Source organism: Homo sapiens, chromosome 6 (assembly GCF_000001405.40).
Source record: "Homo sapiens chromosome 6, GRCh38.p14 Primary Assembly".
Classification (NCBI taxonomy): domain Eukaryota; kingdom Metazoa; phylum Chordata; class Mammalia; order Primates; family Hominidae; genus Homo; species Homo sapiens.
The window spans coordinates 135,936,692-135,956,304 of record NC_000006.12 but is presented as its reverse complement, the minus strand read 5'-3'; the positions used below and the strand labels follow the sequence as shown (position 1 = coordinate 135,956,304).

Genomic DNA, 19,613 nt, shown 5'->3' with positions numbered 1-19,613 from the left:
CCTTTTGAAACTCTCTCCTCTTGGCTAAGGTGGCTAAGATACCATTCTCTCCTTTTCCTTTATCTTTCTGCCCACTCTATTTTAGTCTCCTACCTAGTTAGGCTAAGATGGCTAAGGTACAATCCTCTCCTTTTCCTTTATCTTTCTGCCCACTCTATTTTAGTCTCCTACCTAGTTAGGCTTCCATAGGCTCCTTTTGAACCTGCCCAACCCTTTTGGGGATGCTTCTGGGCATTCCAAAGCACAACCTCATCTCACTCCTCACCTTTCCCTGGGTGATCTCATTTCTGTTATGTCGCCACCGCCACTGACTTGCAGAGCCCTCCTTCTGAGCTGTGCTGCAGTGGAAAGTTCCTTGGGCATCTCAGATTTACTGTGTCTAAAATTTAACTTCTCCCCACCCCATGCAAATTCAATTCTCTTGGACTCTTCTTTGCGGGACAGGGCAGTATCTCGATCTGTTTAATAACACTTCATACACTCAACCCATTGTAGAGTTCTATCACCCTCTTGAAAAGTTTCCTGTATTTTGCACCTTCTGTTCTCTCTGACACTGTCTCAATTCAGGTAGGACTCATCCTTTCTCACCTGATAGATACCACTGTTCCCTAAACTAGTCTTTCTTCAGCGATATCCTCCTCCTGTGCATTCTCCACTCTAAACAGATGATCTGTCTAAAGTGTGTATCTCCCCTTGTAGCTCCTCTGCTTAAACATCTTTCAATGGTTATTTGTCCTATTATAAGGCTCTTCATAATCTCTCCTGCCTTCCTGTCCACATTCGATTGTCTTATCTCATTCCTCTTACTCTATTTTCCAGGCATAAAGACTTTCTTACAGTTTTTAATTGGTCACATTAAGCTGCCGGTACCTGTTGCTCTTAGAAATACCAACAACACCTTTCCCAATGGGCTGTCCTCAGTGCAAGCTCCAGGGCTGTCTGGAGCTTCTCTTTGACACTCAGCTCCTTACCATGTCTTGCACAAGGTCTTTCCTGATGCCACTCCACCCTTCCCCTTCCCCTTCCCGTAAGACCTGGGCTCTCCTGATTGTGGTTTATCATGCTATGTTGTCATTGTTTGTGTGGTCGTCCCTGTGTCACTAGATTGGGAGCTTGCTGAGGATAGAATTTCAATATCTTTGCATCCCTACTCTGGCACACAATGTGTATCTATGAAGTGTTTGTTGATTGAACATGTTTTCTGAAGTGTAGCTTTGTGTAAGGCTGATAGGTCTCATTGAATTCCCTTTTTCTAGCTTTAGACAGAAAATGAAGCTAACTCAATACAAGACTGACACTTCTATCACTTTTGGGCTTGACAACTTCAGTTCTGATAGTTTGGACTTCGCTTGTGTTGTTATTCTGCAGGTAGCTCTCATCTGAGCCCTGGCTTCCAGCTGCATTCAAAAATGAGGTGTTCTGTTGCTGTGGAAATGCTGCAACCTTCCACAGAAAGCAACCTTCAAGCTAGGAAACTTGTTTTTCTTACACAAAGCAATATTGACTTCCAAAATTTTAAAAGGCAGTAGGATAATGTGGAATGCCTTTTAAACCATAACCCTCAAGGTGAAAAAATTTTCTGTATATTCCCATAAACAGAAGACAAAATAATGGGCCTCTTCCTGTATTCTCAGCACAATGCTCCATCTGCCCAAGAATATACTCTGTGGCAATAGGGATTCTACCTTGCTCATTATTATATCAACTTTCAGAGTACTCCTAGCAGAGGGTTGGGCATACAGCAGTGCTCAATGAATGCATGTTAATCTTCCTCTTAGGATAGTTCCTCATTGCCTATTTGAAGGGAACCACTTTTTCTTATCTTGTAACCTGGAGTAGTGTGCTTGGGAAGCCACCAGTTAGTTAATGTAGGAGCTGACCCTTGGCCTTGGCTATGTTAGCAGAGAGTTTTAAATACTAGGCCAACCGATCTTTGACACACTCGAGAGATGCACTCCGGATGACTGCTGTTCTCACAAACACATCAGCACGTATCCATTCAGCAAATAGTGAGTTCCTCTTAGGGGCTGGGCAGCTAGATGTTCCAGATGCTGGATACTCAACAGTGAATGAAACGGAGTCCTTACTTCTGTGATAATCACATTCTGCGTGTATGGGTGTGTTGCAGGGCAAGGCTGGGGAACAGCGATGGACAAATAGAAAATATGTCCTTTAGTGATAAGTGCAATGAAAAGTGAAACAAGACAGGGCCTTGGGTGAGTGATGGGGAATGATGCTTCCACCATCCTCCCTTGAGAATATCCAGGTTCAATTTACCCTCTTTGGGCAGAGTAAGAAAATATCATTCAGCAATTTTGTTGTCTGAGCACGCATATAGAGAGAGTGAATTGATGAATCCAAGTGACAGCAATGAAGAGCTTTGAAAGTGTAAGTTAAAATTAATTCAAATTCCTGAGGCATTCTAACCTTAATAAATCAAAATCGAGCAACTTGAAAACGTCTGTCTTTCAACACAGTCTTTACTTGTTAAGTCAAGTGCACGCAAAATAATCTTTACAATAATATTTCTTTCATAACCTATAAGGATGTTCATTACTAAATTGCCAACATGCACTTGAAAATATCTATTCACTTGAACCAAATTGAGATCATTTAATATTTAAAATCTACAATACTGTCAGTTTGCTATAAAAATACTACTAATATAAAATGAAGTGCAAGGACTTAGAAAAAATTGAGTATTAATAAAAATAATAACTTATATTTATAGTACTTCTAAAAGTTCACTGAATGTTTTAATATTTATTGTCACGTAATCCTCAACAGCCCTAATAAGGTAGACAATAATATTGTTATTATTGCTTATTATTCAGTTTTAGAGAAGAGTAAACAGGTCTACAACCCCTAAATGACATGCCTCTGCTCACACAGTTATTAGCTGGTACCAGGTCTTTCAATGCCCTGTTCTTTCTACCAACACCACAGTGGCCTACTTTGATACCAAATCTTATTTTGCCTTAAAACAGATTGTGTATTATTTTTTTAAGAAACAGTATATAGGTCTCATAAGTGTCCACATGCAAAAACCAAAAGCTGAAGCAAGTGATAAGAGCAAAATATAGATATAAAATAACTCCCAACTTTATTAGCTGACAAAGTTCCAAAAAAGTGAAAAAAACATTTTTCTCTACTGTCACAGATGAAAATATTATCTTGTTGCTTAATAAAATACTATAATATTTGATATGAAGAGGAAAAATAGAATTAACATGTTTTTAAAAAAAATCAAACCAGAATTCAGGTCGTCAGATACGCATTGGGTTAAATATGCATTGGTTTAAAATTATTTAATTTCACAAGTAGCTGATGAATGGCTGTACTTAATACTACCCAGTACCTAGGAGCTTATAGAGTATTCTCTGATATGCTATAACTAAATCGAAAAGACTCTCTAACTAAATAAAAGAGACCAGAACTCTCTTTTATCTGGTACTTCTGTCCTTTTTAGGGCCAATGATGACAGTAAAGCTCTCTGTAATCAGGTCTCAAGTTTCTTTTCAATTTATTCTTTCATCTACCTCGTGGCCTGAAACACTGCCCCAGAAACACTCCCCAGTTTATCTCTGAGCTTTTGAGAGTGGTCTTGCATCCATCTAGAGTGCTGCCACGTTCTCAACTTTCATATCTAGATAGATGAGTCTTCACATCCCTGCTATATGCACTCTATCCATGTTTTGAAGTCCAGTGTAGTTTATCTTTATTTCTTCTGTAGCCTTTATCAGTCGAGTTGGTGTTGCATACATTGGGCTTCAGGACCTCAATCTCTTGCTGAACAATAAACCCTCTAAGGGCAGACTCTATGCCCCACTGGTCTTTGGATTCTCAATGCTAAGCACACGACCTTGTAGGTGCTTGATGCACATCCGATTAATTAAAATTAGATGAAGGTCTCGTTCTACCCTGGAGGCACCATGCAATTTTGAAGAATGTATTTAATATTTAAAAAATTGTCCTTATATTCATATGTTTTAGCTTTTCGATTGCTTTTCTAAACACCATTGGTATCATCAGTAATAATTTTTATTAGCTTATTTATATTTGCTTATTATCAATTTTTACATTTTCAATTATTTATCATTTATGCATCAACTTATTGATGCATACACAATATTTAGGGCAGACATCATAACAGGCTTCTCCTCATAGAACATCTCATTCTCTCACCAGAAAAACCCCTGGGCTAGGAAGGACAGATGTTTTTATTTCCACTTTGCAGGAAAACTATGAATTGAATCCTAGAGAGATGAAGCAACTTCTGTGAGTACACAGTTAATTTTTTCAGAGCTAGTGCTACAAAGCAAGTCCCTCTATGCCTATGTTGAGTGTTAATAAAATATTGATTTTCTGGTGTTCTGTTGTTCTGAAGATTAGCAATCATTTAAATCATTTATAATAATTTTCAACCAGAAAACTGACTAATATGAATACTCCCTTCTAAGTTATGGCAGGTAAGAAAGTGCTTATTGTACATTCTAATAGTCATGATACTCATCAGCATGAAAGAAATCATACATGAGACAAAAACAGGGCCAATGAAAATTTCAAATTAAAAAAATTAAACCTTGATAAAGAGGATGGAGAAATTGAGCCAACAAAATATCATAAATTAAAAATTAAGGCTTATAATTTGAAAAAATCCCATTCTAATAATAAGAAAAATAGGAGATACAAAGAAGCACTAAATCTGATCAGCAATTTCTTCTTGAAAGTTTCTTTTCCCATGATTTATCGTTTCACAGAGCAAGGTTCACAAATGAACTGAGAAGTGAATCAACATTGATCATTTTACATAATTTCTTTAAATATTCTGGGCTCTTTTTGCCCAACAGTTTTCATTATGCTTTTGAAAAGTAAACTCTGTTTTGTAACTTGCCATACTTCATGCATTAATTATACAGTGAGAGATAATGTCTCTTCCACTTCCTCTTTCTTTTAGTATCTGTTCATGAGACCTGAAGAAGGTAAAAGTGTTGCTATACAGTTGTATATCCATTGATATAATTATATAAACTTCTGAGGCCAATTTGAACTTGAGTGAAATCTTATGGCTAAATTTATAAAAAGGAAGGTGGAGAGGGGAGGACAGGGAGGCAGAAGCTCTACACACATTTCCCTAAGCCTGAAGGAAAAAAGAAAGCAACATATATTACAATTTGGTGTTTAACTTGATCATCCACATTTGCTCTCTCTGAACAATTGTAAGGAATAAATAGTTAACACTCCGTGTAGTCAGCTCTGCAGTACACCTGTATTTACCTTCATATCCAACATGAGCTATTCTCTTGAAGCCAGAAATAATTCCCTGCAAGACTCATACATGACAGTAGTTTGGTTCCATTTAAAGCTGCATTGAATCCGGCGCACCAGAGTAACTCGAGGTGAATTTTACACTTATGTCTCATTTAACGGAATGAGTCAGAAGTGTAATTTTCCATAAGAATGGCATATTCATGGAAGTCGTGAGGTAGACAACACAAAGCATAAAAACAGTACTTTTCAGAATGATATGGGGACTCGCCAATGGAAGAGAAGGAAATGCAAATGGAGTCCCTGGCTAGTGACCCTTCTCCAGATTCCACCCCAACTGTGCTGAAACCAGTACACAGCTAGGATCCAGCAGGCACCCAAACCTGGAGTGTGAGTGGGTAGAGAGGGAGGTTTCCAGGGGAGTGAGCCAAGGGCTTGACCAGTTAAAGATGAGGATGTCTCAGGTTGGTCCCCATCAGGGATCTGAATATTGAGGTGGCCCCATATATTTGGTTTTCTCATTTAGAAATTTTGATTTATTCATAAAAATGTTATAAAATTACCTACAAAAATAAAAACTACATTTATGGTTGGCAGGGCTTATAAAACACAATAGTCCTTTACAATATCAGAGACTCCTTATACTTTCTTGTGTGAGATGTAAAGTTTTCTCAAAAAATGCTTTAGGAAATCATAAGAACATTATCTGAGATTCCTTTTGAAGATAGCAACAAACTAATTAATACCTTAGACAGTGGTGAAGAGGTGCTTTTTGTGTTAATATAGATATTCTTTCTTGAAGAAATACAAGATGTGGTCTCAGTTTTAGGGACTTACGTGCTCATAATTTGATTTCTCTTGTTTATTTTAAGTGAATAAACCATTAAACTTTACTTCTTTCTTTTATCATCTAGGATCATTTTGCTGTGAAGTGGCAGTCCTTGGGCTTCAGGTGGATGCATGTTAATGGTGGGGTTGATCCATGTGTATTGATATCCATAATGATTTTATTTTGGTATTCTTCCATCTAAGATTTCAAAGGACTTCATAAGTGTCTGAATTAAAAGTTGCAGCAATTCTCTTAAAAAATCTAAGCCGTCTTAAATATAAGCTCCTCAAGGGCACAATTTTCACTATGTGAGCAACTCAAACTCACTAAGCATAATATTATCTTTGAATAGTCATTAATTATTTACTGTCTATCTTAAAGGTAAAATGTATACTTGTTATTCCTATGTGTCCTGAAACTAATAAAAACTTCCATTCTCACAGTTCCTTTTATTATTTAGTTCTGAATTACGAAAAAAAGGGAAATCTAACAAACTAATGAAATCTACAAGGTTAATAACCAGTATCAGCTTAATTAAAACTCTTCTATTGCTAGAGATATCTATATTTTGAAAGATAGAGCTTCTCTTAATTTACTTAGAATAAATGATCTAATTATGTAAGGTGTTTGGGATGGATTTCACCTGCCACATATTAAGTGCTCAATTAACTGTAATTATTATGACAGTGGTAGCAACATAAAACTGATTTATATAAATGCATTTCTAATTTTAGAATTTTGTGCAATCTGGCAGATTCATTAGAGACATATTTGGCGGTCAGGATTGTTTTCTGGCAGCTATATAAACCATACCACATAATCTAGAAGAGATGGAAAGATAATTGATCTTACTTTAAGTGAATTCAAATCTATAGGCAGTAGTAGAAAGTCTCTTACTGTTCTAGCTATAAACTAATCAATCAACTTACATGGAAGACAGGACACAGAAACATTCAGTCAAAATAGATGATGCATTCATGTGCTTAAAATTATCATGAGTTAAACATTGATTCAAGTTACTAGACCAGGTGAAAGCTACAATCAAATAATATTTCAGTGGTAGTAAGGTACCTGCAGTATTCAACCATTTCCCTCAATTTCCTTATTTATAAAATGAAGATAACAATAGCACCAACCTCATCTTGTTATTGTGGAAAATTAAATGAGTTAATTGTTGAATAGATTATTTGATGTGATGGTAAAACAGTTTCCCAAATCCAAAACTGGGACACATGGCTTAACAAAGGATTTTTTTTCTGCTTCCATCTGTACCTGTTTTGTCTGTCTGTCTGTCTGTCTGTCTGTCTGTCTATCTATCTATCTATCTATCTATCTATCTATCTATCTATCTATCTATCTATCTAGTACCTGAAATATTAGAACTTTGGAGACATTTTCATTTCACACTTTCAAGGGGAAGGAATATTGGATATTTGAAATGGGTGTATGGATGCAATGCTATATTCTTCGTTCATGTGCTTCTAGTAAAACGTTCATTTTTCAATGAATGTATTACTATATAGCCACCATCTTAATTAAAATAAAAACATAGAACTGCAAAGAGAGATTTAAAAATCAGTAAAGAATTTAAGAAAGATTAGAAGGCTAGAAAAATATGATGTCTGGTTTTTGTTTGTTTCTTAAGTCGTGTACCACCTTTGATTATTTGTTACATGATTATTTTGAATTATAAATTACCAAGATCTTTGCCTGCCTCTATTTAACTTGCTGTCTGCTTTTCACCAATAATCTAGACTGTCAATATATGAAGTGGGCAGAGTAAATAGAAAATGCTAAAATGAATAATTTTTTTCTTTGCTTATTAATATAGTTCAAGGTTAGAATCTACAAAGGTAAAAATTTGGTGAAAATAAAATTTAGAAATTATTTTTATTTATCCATGCTACTGTTTACTTCTATTACTATAATGAATTGCAACTTTATTGGACATAGTTTAGTGGCTTAAATAAGATCTAAACACTAGACCTAAAATTTTACTGTTTAGAAACTTTCATATCATGATTTGGACCATTTCTCACTTTGAGGTTAAGTGCATCACTTATATTCTCTATAATTGTTTCTAACCTATAAAATGAGGAAAATAATACCAACTTCATTACCTAACAGTATATATTAAAAGAGTTTGTCAAAGGCATTGATGATATATCATCCTACAAGAACAAATGATTATTCATTACAATGTTGTTATTTTGTTACAAATGCTGTGTCGATAATAGTTGTGCTGACTTCAGATTACAGTAGTTCAAATATACATTTCTTCCAGAAATTCTAAGTAAGGGTTTTGTACTGTGATGTAAGGACTTAATAATTTACTTGTCTATCTTATCATCCATCTTTGGTTTAGGAATTACAACATGGTTCTTACCTTTTCATCATAGCTGCCTGAATACAAACCACCTAATTCTATGTTATGCTGATGATCCAAGAAAATTTTTGAAAGACTCAGAAGCATGGTCCTTGACTGGCTGACAATTAAGAAAATCAGAACCTTTTCTCATCATCAAGTGTTACACATATAAATGTGTTATAGCTGTCTGCATAACCACAAAAGAACCTATCAGCCTCTTCAAAACAGAATGAGAGACAGCCAAAAAGGCAACAGAATGATAACTCCACATGACATCAACATGCTTAATATATTTAAAATGAGAAGCCTTCTTACCCAGCATGCAAACACATTTGGCATTCTGATCGGGGTTCTCAAACAAGATTTCGCCACACCTCTGAAATAGAAAGATAGCCAAGGTTATTTTAAGATTTCATATCAAGATTCCCAAGACAATATATCCATGTGACCTGACATTACCATAACATTATTCTACTTTTGTTTTCATTGGTTACCTGAGTCTAGGGACTTATGTCATGAGCAGAGACTTGCCTGGTAGTAAAATATTTGAGGGATAAGTTGGAATAGATTGTTTCTGCATGCCTTATGCCCCTGCATAGAGCAGATTCTATGTGCTCCCATGTGAAGTCACGACTAGAGATGCATTTGGTTTGAAACAGTTTCTATTTCAGTGGAAGATATGCAATCTATTAGGCCCAATAATCTGCGGCTAATTATTCTCAAAATTGGTCCTTATTCATCTCCCATATTATTCTACACTACCCACTCTGCAAAGCACAGATACTATCAAACATAAAGCTAGGTGGCCTATACTTTATCTCTCTGAACTTGGAAGGAAAAACAAGTAGATAAATAATGAAAAACTGGCATTCCTAATGCTTTTCCTGAACTCACAGACTTACGGAAATATCAACTTTCTTATCTATATCTTAGTTTTAACTTGCTTGTTAAAACTTTTGTGCAAGGCAAATTCCTGCAGAGATACAATCAGTTATTTAAGAACAGGCCACAGTTGTATGATGAGTATATTGACAAAGCGTTAGTACTTGAATGTATACATAAATCTTTCAAATCAGTGAGAACATAACAAATCTAATAGAAAAATGGATAAAGTACATGAGCAAGCAATTCATAGACGAGGAAAAATCTGAATGGTCAATAAACATAGAAAACATATTTAACCGTAGCTGTGATCAGAAGCAAGCAAATTAAAGATAAAATGAGGTTTATTTTCAACTCATCAATTTCACAAAATTTAGAAGTCTGGCAATAACAAGTGTTTTCAAGACTGTAGAGAAATGGATACTCTCACACATTGCGGGATGGAATATAAAATGATACAATTGCTTTAGAAAATTATTTGCAAAATCCAGCAAAGATGAAATGTTCATACCCTATGACATAGCAAGTTGTCTTCTAGATTTATAAGTAGAGAAATTTCATATACAACTTTAATGTCTTGGTACAAAACAGACAAATAAGTATTATTCATAAGTGGAATACTACACAACAGTTAAAATGAATTAGAGCTACATATACTGTAAAACATATATATATAATATGTATATATGAAATACATAATATTAAAAATCTGGAATATTCAAATAATATAAAATATATAATATGCCAATCATATAAGACATATATAATGTTTAAAACATAAAAGTATAATGTTAAGCCAAAAACAATTGTCCATATTTTATGAAGTTGAAAATATCTGAAAATAGTACATATTATTTATGGATACATTAATTTATAGAAAAAGCAAAAAACATGCAATGAATAATGAAGCATCAAATTTAGGGTAGGGGGAAGAAATGTTGAGAAATGAAATGTTGGAGGGCACACTGGGGCTATCAATTTTTTCTATAATGGTGTGTCCCTTAAATTATTCTCTGAATGTTTTCCTTCATTTCAAATATTTTGAAATAAGAATTGTCCTCATATTCACAACTCTGAATATAAAAATGGCCCTTTGTACAATACATCTCTGCACCTGTCTTCCTTGAGAGGCCATTTGGTAGCAGACTGGACTGTCTTCATCAATAACTTGTTCTCACTACATATTTCCTTTGCCCTTAAGGAGACCGAAGATGAGCTACATTCACTCATTTTCCTCTTTCTTTTACAGTTCACAACTTGGTTAATTCCATTCCCATCAATCTTTGTTGTAACTATACATTATATAAGACAAAGAAATTTAAGGGGAAAAAATTCCTGGATGTGAGAATTCATGTTCTTCACACCTGATTATGACATCCTCTGGTACAAAGAGGGGCAAGTTGAGAGGAGAAAGGATGATGCTGTTACATTCAAATCAATCCATTTTTTTTTAAGATGGCCTACATTATGTGGAGATGGACAGTTGGTTCAGTGATATGAAAAGAAAGAAAGCTGCTTTTGTGAGTCAAGAGGCTGGACCATGGAGGAAGGAGGTTGGATACAGATTAAGGGTGCAAAAGAGCATTGAGTTCTCAATGGAGATCCTAGATCTTGAGCTTTCTTCCCAGCTACTCTGCTCACCTCGTGTCATATTTATCATTTCACCTAATCTCTTCATGCTTCATTTCTTCATAAGTAACATGGGGATGCCAATGTATGCCACCAAGTCAGGTCAGAGAAGCAAATGTGAGGATTAACGACCCATGGAGTCTGATCATAGTATTTGTTCCTATTTCGTTGTTTTGGAAGACATTAAACCTTTTCAAATTACTGGGATGCATTTTCTGCATTACCTGTATTTTAAAGTGATTATGTTTAAAGTGATTAAAGTGAAAGTGTTAATATTTTTAAATGAAGGATCAGAGGTTTCCTAAATGTTCTAAACTTCTAGGCAAAACAAAGTGCTAGGAAGCTCTATCAATTCACATTCTGAGTCCTACAAGGAAATAACTCCAGGACCCTAGGGTGCTCCCCTGCCATTTGCTATGGAAAAAGTCCAGACATGTGTTGTGAAGGAAGAGCTTTTCTACTTTCCTTGCAGGGCCTCTAGGGGCAGGGGTTGATGGGTTGAGGTTGCATAACTTCTCTTTGCTATCATAGCCCAAGGGCAGCCTTATATGTGCCACTCAACAGGCACATTGGTGTGAATATGGGCACAGGAGCTGGGGTCTTGCTCTCTTTCTTGGCCATAAACAAATTCAGGAGGAGTTTTTGAAACTCCTGTGAAGCATGCATTCCTTAACAGTCATGGCCTGCCTGGGTTCACTGGCTAGACAAGCTCATCACCAAATAGCAAGAACAGGTGTGGTGGCCCTTCCAATGACAATGAGGTGGTCCTCTTCCTTGTCTTCACCTCCCTGGAGGTCTGGGAAATTGCTGAGGCGCCTTTAACTAGCTCTTTAATTGCCCTGTTTTGTAAAGTTACCTGATGATGGTAACAGATTTGAAAGCAATACCTGAGGGAATCTGATTGTTCTCAGGGCTTGAAAAAAACCAGTTTCTTTCTAGTGCTTTTTCCTGTTGATGCCAGTGTTTATCCAGCCTTCGCTGCCAGGCTCCTGCTTGCTGTGCAACCCAGGGTGATGACCCAGTTTACGAGATTAACTGGGCTAAGCCACAGGGTCTACGTTTCAGAAAACTGCAGGATCTGTCCTGGGGGAACGTCTTGTGCCCTGCTGGATTATCGGGTGCTGCAACCCTCCTCCTTCTATGCTCTAGTCAAGCTTGCTGGGAGTCCCCATGCAAGCACCCTGCTGCCAGGTGACCCTGACTTTGTACCTGGTGCTGCTCACCAGGATTCTGCCTAATTCTCAGGATCCAATCTCTCCTTAGGGATTCTATCTTTGTCTTGTCTTCTGTGCCTGAAATATCGAGACCAACTTGCCTTGTTTGTGCCCATCTCTCCCAGCCAACACTGCCTTCAGATAATAGGGCATAGTTATTGAAGAACTCATCCAAGGGGCTGGATCTCTGCTAGCAACAGAGGGATCCTGCTGGCACATGATCTCCTTCCACAGCACAGAGGATATGAATTCATGTGTGTAATGTCCATTGTTGCCCTCAGAGACCATAAAGAGTCAAACTATGTCCATTGTTAGTGTTCCTAACATGCCTCATTATTGTAATCCTGCTGCCTTGTTCATACCAGGGCCTTCATAAATCTTTGTGGATTAGGTAGACTAAATATCTGTGGACTTGCTAACATTTGTGCCCACATTATGGGCTAAGCCTTGTACTAAGTGCTGTGCCTCTACTTTTCACACTCGCATTGTACTCTTTTAGCAGAGTAGAAAATTGAGGCACAGGCAGTACCACTCACTATGGAATACTCTTCTCCAATGATGGATAGAATAAATGTTGACAGCTTACTGGATGTTTGACTGAGATATATAGATTCTCGAATATTGGCTACTTTTGACCTGCTCATTGCCTTGGCCAAATAGACTATCTTTACTTTTATCCCCTTCTCTCACCCACTAACCACTGGCTGTTTGCAAGAATTGCCATCTAGTAGAGCACGGGCTTTGGATCAGACTGATCAAAATTCAAATCCTGTCGCTGCCTCTTCTTATCACTGTACTATCATGGGCATTTAGTTTTGCAAATCTGCCTTCTTATCTGTAAAACAGGGTAATATAATCTACATCACAGTATCATTGGAAGCTTAGTTTTTACTTCATTATGCACAAGAATGTACTGATTTAAATTATTGTCGATAAGATTGTAAAACAAAAATAAAAATTAACAAATTTAACTGATCCAGTAAAATTCTATTTTAATTCCCATATTAGTTTTTAGGATTGAAAATGAAGAAATTCTTCTAATTTTAAAAGTCACAACATTTCACAAGTTGGTTGCTAATTTATTAAGAATTTTCCACATTAAATCTAAAATTGGACTTTTATTCAGGAAGGGAAAGATGAATGCTATAAAATACTGCATCTATTATTCACAATAGCCAAGGCGTGGGGCCAACTGAGTGTTCATCAACAGTTGAATGGCTAAAGAAAATGTGATATAGATACACACACACACACAATGGAATATTATTAACTCTTGAAAAAAGAAGGAAATCCTGTCTTTTGTGATAAGATGGATGAATCTGGAGGACATTATGTTAAATGAAATAAGCCAGGTACAGAAAGACAAATACTGTATGATCTCACTTCTATGTTGAATTCAAAAAAATTGAATTTGTAGAAGCAGAGGGTAGAACAATATTTACCAGGAGCTTGGGATGTTGTGAGGTTAGAGGGTGAAATTGAAGAAATATTGGTAAAATATTACAAAATTTTACACAGGAGGGATAAGTTCAGGAAATCTATTGTACAACACGGCAACTATAGTAATGACAATGTATTGTATATTTGCAAATTGCTAAGAGAGTAGATTTTAGGTATTCTCACCACAAAACATTAAGTATGTGAGGTAAGGCATATGTTGATTAGCTTGATTTAGCCATTCCACAATGTACACATATCTCAAAGCATCATGCTGTACACAATAGATATATATAATTTTAATTTGCCATTTAAACATAATAAAAATTACTGCACCTATCCTTACATTAAGACAATTTTTAAATTAAAATAATATAATTTCCATGAACTAAATAATATGTTCTAGCAAAATGTGCACAAAATATATTTCTCTTAAGTAAACTGAATTTTATCATCACTTTCACCATACGTTTAGTTATAAAAAAATTGATGTTAGGAGTCATTTTTAAAATCACCCTTAAGTATTAAATGAACCTCTTTTCCTTAAAGAAAAATTATATCCAATTGACAATATTAAAATACTGATAATAGTCCCACATCACATTCAATAGGAGTTATTAAAAACAGTGAAAAGCTCACGTTTTTGTTCTCATTGTTCAATCGACAGCACTTCCAGCTTTCTTAAACCAGTTAATGTTTTTTCTGCTTCAGATAAGCTTTCATATATCTTTTTATTTTCCTGAGTAGTTACTATAACTTGAATTTATTATTCTCTCAGCAGACCTCCAGCAACTAATCTTTTTAGAGAATGTGTCTTGATATCTTCAGAACAGTGGAAACATTAGCAAACAAATAAAACCAAAGACAGAAATCCTTGATGCTTGGAGGTTTGCCTGAGTGTCAGCTGAGAAGATAACAGTTTTCTGCAAGTAGGTAATGTTAAATGTTATCAGAAAGAAATTAATAGGCTATGGTTATTATTTTCTTCTCACATTTATAATTGTTTTTTAGCAGAAAGGAATTTAATAAAGGGAATTAGATGTTTATGAAATTATTGGAGGATTAGGCTATAGGCTAGACCTCCAGAAATGACACTCAAAACCACACTGTGAAATTGACTCACCAAGCTGGGAGTTTACTAGGCCAGTGGGCCACAATTGGGAAAGTGGAAAACTAGGAAGCATCACTGAGTTGTTGACTTCAAGAACACAGCACTGTGGCAGTGATCCAGGGTTTAGAAATTTATTGGTGCAATTGCCTCTTGATACCCATGAAGCTGGGAACTAAACACTGAATGCTATTGCAGAAATGCAGAAAAACTCACCCACTCCATGACTGTGCTAGATAGCATGTTAAAACAAAATCAACCAGAACAAAAAGAACCCCTGACATATGACTAGAGTCATTTTTTGGGGAAAAAAAAAATCAAACCTAAGTTTCTTGAGCTGAAAAAGTGCTAACCATGATCAGTCTATGGGGAAGTTTTTGAAGTTTAGTGGAAAGTAAAGTACATCTTGTCCGTCCCAAGAGTGGCAAAGGGAATCTGGAGTAGGCATAGCTTAAGCACAGGCTGCTTTCACCCCCACCCTCACTTCCTTTCTATTTACTTCGAATCTGCAAGTTTGCCATATAATACATGAATTTCCCAAATGAGGTTTTAGGTAAACAAGGCAAATGCCTGTATGCTGATATATCTATTGGGATTGCATCTATTTTATTTGCTTACCACTGAATCCCTAAATGTCTAGGACAATGACTAATGCATAATGGGCGCTCCCAATGTTAATTAAATGAATGAATGAATAATTCCTTACCGTAATTCTGTGGGCTATTCTGAAGTTTTCTGGGGTAGCATGAGAAGAGATTATTTTTCCAGGACATTTCTGCATATACACCAGTAAGCACTGCCATAGATGCAGCTGCATGATGTGCAGCTGCAATGGGCTGATGAAGGGCGAAACCTGACATTGAGATGACATTTCCAAACATCTGGGTCACTTCTCATCTCACACTTTTCCCCAACCAAGAACTGAATGGTACTAATCAAAGACAGATCCCTAGAAGATAGGCCTGGAGAGAAAGTAGTTTAGGTCTGTAGAGCATAAAAAGATATCTCCTGTTAAGAAACTGAACTCCCTGACAGTGCCTGGAAGTTTGGATCTCCATTAATGTCTATCAAGTGAGTGAATGAATAAGTGAACAGTCAGCAAGACATTACTGAGTGCCTACTCTGTGCTAACAGTGTATCATGAGTGTGGATACAAAATGAAATGAGATTCAGGCCAGGTCTTTTCCTTAAGAAGTTTGTAGCCTACTCTGAAGTCAGAACATAGAAGGCTATGGGCACTTTCAATGCTGGGTACCCACCCCTGACTGGGGTTACTGGAGAAGGCTTTGAAAGACATGACCGCAGGCCTGAGTCTGGAGCATAGGAAAGAGTTATCTGGTAAAAGAGAGGACTCCTCTAGGCATAGGTAGCTGTCTGGGCAAAGTCCAGAACCTTGGTTAAGATCTTGAAAGCAGCTGCCAAGGATGGGAGCAAAACTGCTGGGGGTGAAAGCAGAGAGCTTAATCAAAGTGGTCGTCACAGAGGGGATTGGAGAAAAATTGGGGTCAATAGTGATTTAAAAAAAAATCTTTATGGACTGGACTGGAGAGGCTTGGTTTGCTTTCGAAGAACCAGGATGCTTAATGAATTACTCTAGCATTGTATCAAATAATTACAATATAGCTATCTCTGTATTAGAGCTCTTAATTGGCTCCAGATGTCTCTCACCAGTGATACCGGCTGCCATCATTTTGCCCATTTGAGGTAGAAGTTACCCCAAAGAGGATACCAAGCTGAAGTGTTTCTTAGTCCTTTTTCTTGAATTATCTTATAGAATGGCTATGACCAAAAGAATCCCCCCAGCCACCCAGCTGAAACCTCAGTGAGGCTGATTTCTCCTACTGCTGAAGCCATTAGCACCCAGTGTTGAGAACACCCCAGCTCCCAGAAGATACATTTTCAGGGTCTCCTACGTGACAGTGGCCCAGGGCCACATCATTTTATGCAGAGTCCTGTCTACCATGTGGGTGGCATAGTCAGGCCTCAATCTCTACACACTGTGGCAGCCCTCAGCACTCCGGTGCCAGAGGACGGCAGATTTGGAACTGGGGCTGATTTCAGCTCGAGCTCATGTTTTCCTTTTTAAGCTTTTCCAGTGAAAGAGCAGATTTCTATCCCATTGCAGGCTGTTAAAACGTCAGAGACTAATAAGTTTTCAACAATCTGTCAGTGCAGATCTCCAGCAACAACCTGGCACTGCTTTCAAATCAGGGCCTCATCGTCCAGCCCAACCTCAGCCAGTCAAAATAAGAGACACACCAGCAAAAGAAAAAAAAGAAAAAAGATAATCACCTCGAGCTGAGCAGAAAATCTACACAAATCCATTGTTGCCAACAATCAACAGCAAATCTGTGGGCTACGTAACCTGAGGTGACCCTTCCAGAAGAGCCATCCCTTATAAACCTCTAATTAGGTATGGTTAGGAGTGACTTGAAAGATATTAATGCTATTGCTATTGGAAAATGAGCTTACCAGCTTTTAACAGCTTTGTTTTCTTCTTCAGTCAAAGAACAGAATGTTAGCTCAATGGCGTATGCTTTCTATTAGAGCAGTGCCAGCAGCAGCGGTCTCCAGAGAGTCTCTCAGCATTTTATTACATACCCCTATTTTTAAATGTTTAAAAACTACTTATTATGAACCAAAACTTGGAAAACCTGCTTTCAGCCCAAGAGTAATTTTTATTTTTATTTTTTTAGTTATTAAGCAAACTTCCAAAATGCAGAACTGTGTTTTCTGTCATTTTATCCCTAGACAGTAGAGGGCAATAGAAAGGCTATATGGCTAAGATCTCCTCGTATCCCTGCAGGGAGATCCTGAGGTCAGATGGCGTGGTGCAGGCTCAGAGTCATTGCGTCTTACGTTGCACTCTCCAAGTCATGCAGCATTGTCTCCATGGGTCGTGGTTAGTCCTGATTCCCATAGCACACATCGAAATGCACATTGAAGACAGCCTCTTTCATTGTGCAAAACGACTATAGCCTCTGCACAAGCTCCATTTTAGAAAAACCTGTACCTGTGAAGGCTTATGGCATGGAGTACAGTGCGATCTCTGGTGCACCCAGTTATAGGAACTGACTAGGCATCTCAGTTCAAGGTACTTTGGGAATAATTGTGGTATGTGCTCTGGGAATTTTCCTGTAGCAGACTCAAATACATATGCCACAAATCTTGATACACAGTTCAAAAATGTCAGAAGTTTGCAATGCTATTTCATCTTTTACTTATTGTCTCAGAATCCCAAGGGTTTACACCTAGCCACACTTTGTTTTCAAAAAGATAGCTGTGAAGGCAAACAACTAAAGCCAAACACATTTCACTTATATACAGTCATTTTTAAAAGGTGAAGTCCATAGACACTTTGTGTTGGAGAAAACAGGAGGCAATATAGAACAAAAAAGAAAAGAAAACAGATTGGTGGACATAATGGAAAGAACTGAGTATATCGGGGTTCAAATCCCAAACCTATTCCTCAACAGCTGTGTGATCTTAGTCAGAGTTGACTTTTCCTTTCAAAACTCATTGTAGAGTACAGGGAGTAACAATGCTCACTCCTCTACAGAAATGTAATATATGAGAAACCATCTTATATACCCTAAAACCATAATGGGGCCTGCTGTGTATCTGGTTTTGCGGAAGGAAGAAGGTAGAAGCAGAATAGGGTCATTTGGTGGTAGTGTGTACAAGATACAAAGCACAGTTCTACCATGTAAATCATGGGGTTTTATGAGGGGAAGATTTTGCTCCTCCCATGATGGAGAGCCCTGGTCCTTCAGAGGTTAGCCTGCAGGACCAGAGGTCTACAGAGCAGAGGTCATTGGGGCAGGATGGAGGCAGTGACTCTGTCTGATGTGCCCTTATCCTTGGCATTGAGGAAGCGGGAAGAACCAACCTAGATTTGGGAAAAAGGGGTCCCTTCTAGGTGATCAGCCAAACTGGCTACATCCTGATGGGTTGTGGAAAACTTTCTGAATAATGTATTCTGATTAAGTAGGGGAGAGAGAAACTAGTATTAAACAAGTCTTCAGTGAAGGTTGGAGGTGCAAGATAAGCTGGGAGGGTGTTTGCTCTAAGAATGAGAAACTGTTGATGCAAAACTCTAAAGGCAATTGAGGAAATGAAGGAAATGAAGAATGGCTAGAAGGGAATGGGATTCAGATAACCAGGAGAACTGGAGAGTGGAGAGACGCAAGGCTGGGGAAGTTGGCAGGGGCCAGATCAGGAAGGGCCCTGCAGGACTCCATTTAGTGATTGGGCACAAGCCTAGATGCTGCAGGCCGTGGATCTGGAAGAAGGCCCCGCAGCTCACAGGCCATCTGTTCAAGGCAATAGAGAGATCCCAAAAGGGTTTAGGAAGTTTCTGTAACATGAGTACCACACGCAGCAGCCACGTTTGCTGACCAATGTCGCTCCTCACCACACTGAACAGGACCCTTAGGTGGAAAAAGGGTTCTGCTAAGTGGGGTACCACCTTGTTAGTGAGTGTCTAATGACATACTCCCAATTATGTCTAACACTTTTAGTTGTGTCAATCAGCCAAGTTGGAAAATGCCACCAGAGGCCCTCCTCACTCTGACTCCCTTCTTAGTAGTGTCTCACACAGTGTGTTCACAATCAGATAGATTTCTTTAGATTTAGTATACTCCATATGGTCTTTATGAAGCATAGATCACAGAAATGAGAACATGGCTTGTCAAAATTCCAAGTCTAGCATGACTGTATTATGAAGAATGTGGCCTTCTGAATCATGCAGAGAGTGAGCGTTGAGAATGCACTGAAAGTGGTGATGAACAGTCAGGCCTCTGGATCCTGGAAGGTGGAGGAACCAGGGTCCTGGAACAAATGCCCTCTCTTCACCCTTTTAGGGACATCTCCCTCTCA

General features: G+C 37.7%; 1 protein-coding gene across 1 annotated transcript in view; it reads right to left on the bottom strand.

Moving 5' to 3' along the window:
* PDE7B (phosphodiesterase 7B) overlaps window positions 1-19,613 on the bottom strand; it is a 343,874-nt gene that overhangs the window by 239,270 nt on the left and 84,991 nt on the right. The window contains exon 2 of the mRNA NM_018945.4: window positions 8,781-8,841. Coding sequence (NP_061818.1) covers window positions 8,781-8,841 — 61 coding nt within the window. The remainder of the gene's footprint in view (window positions 1-8,780; window positions 8,842-19,613) is intronic.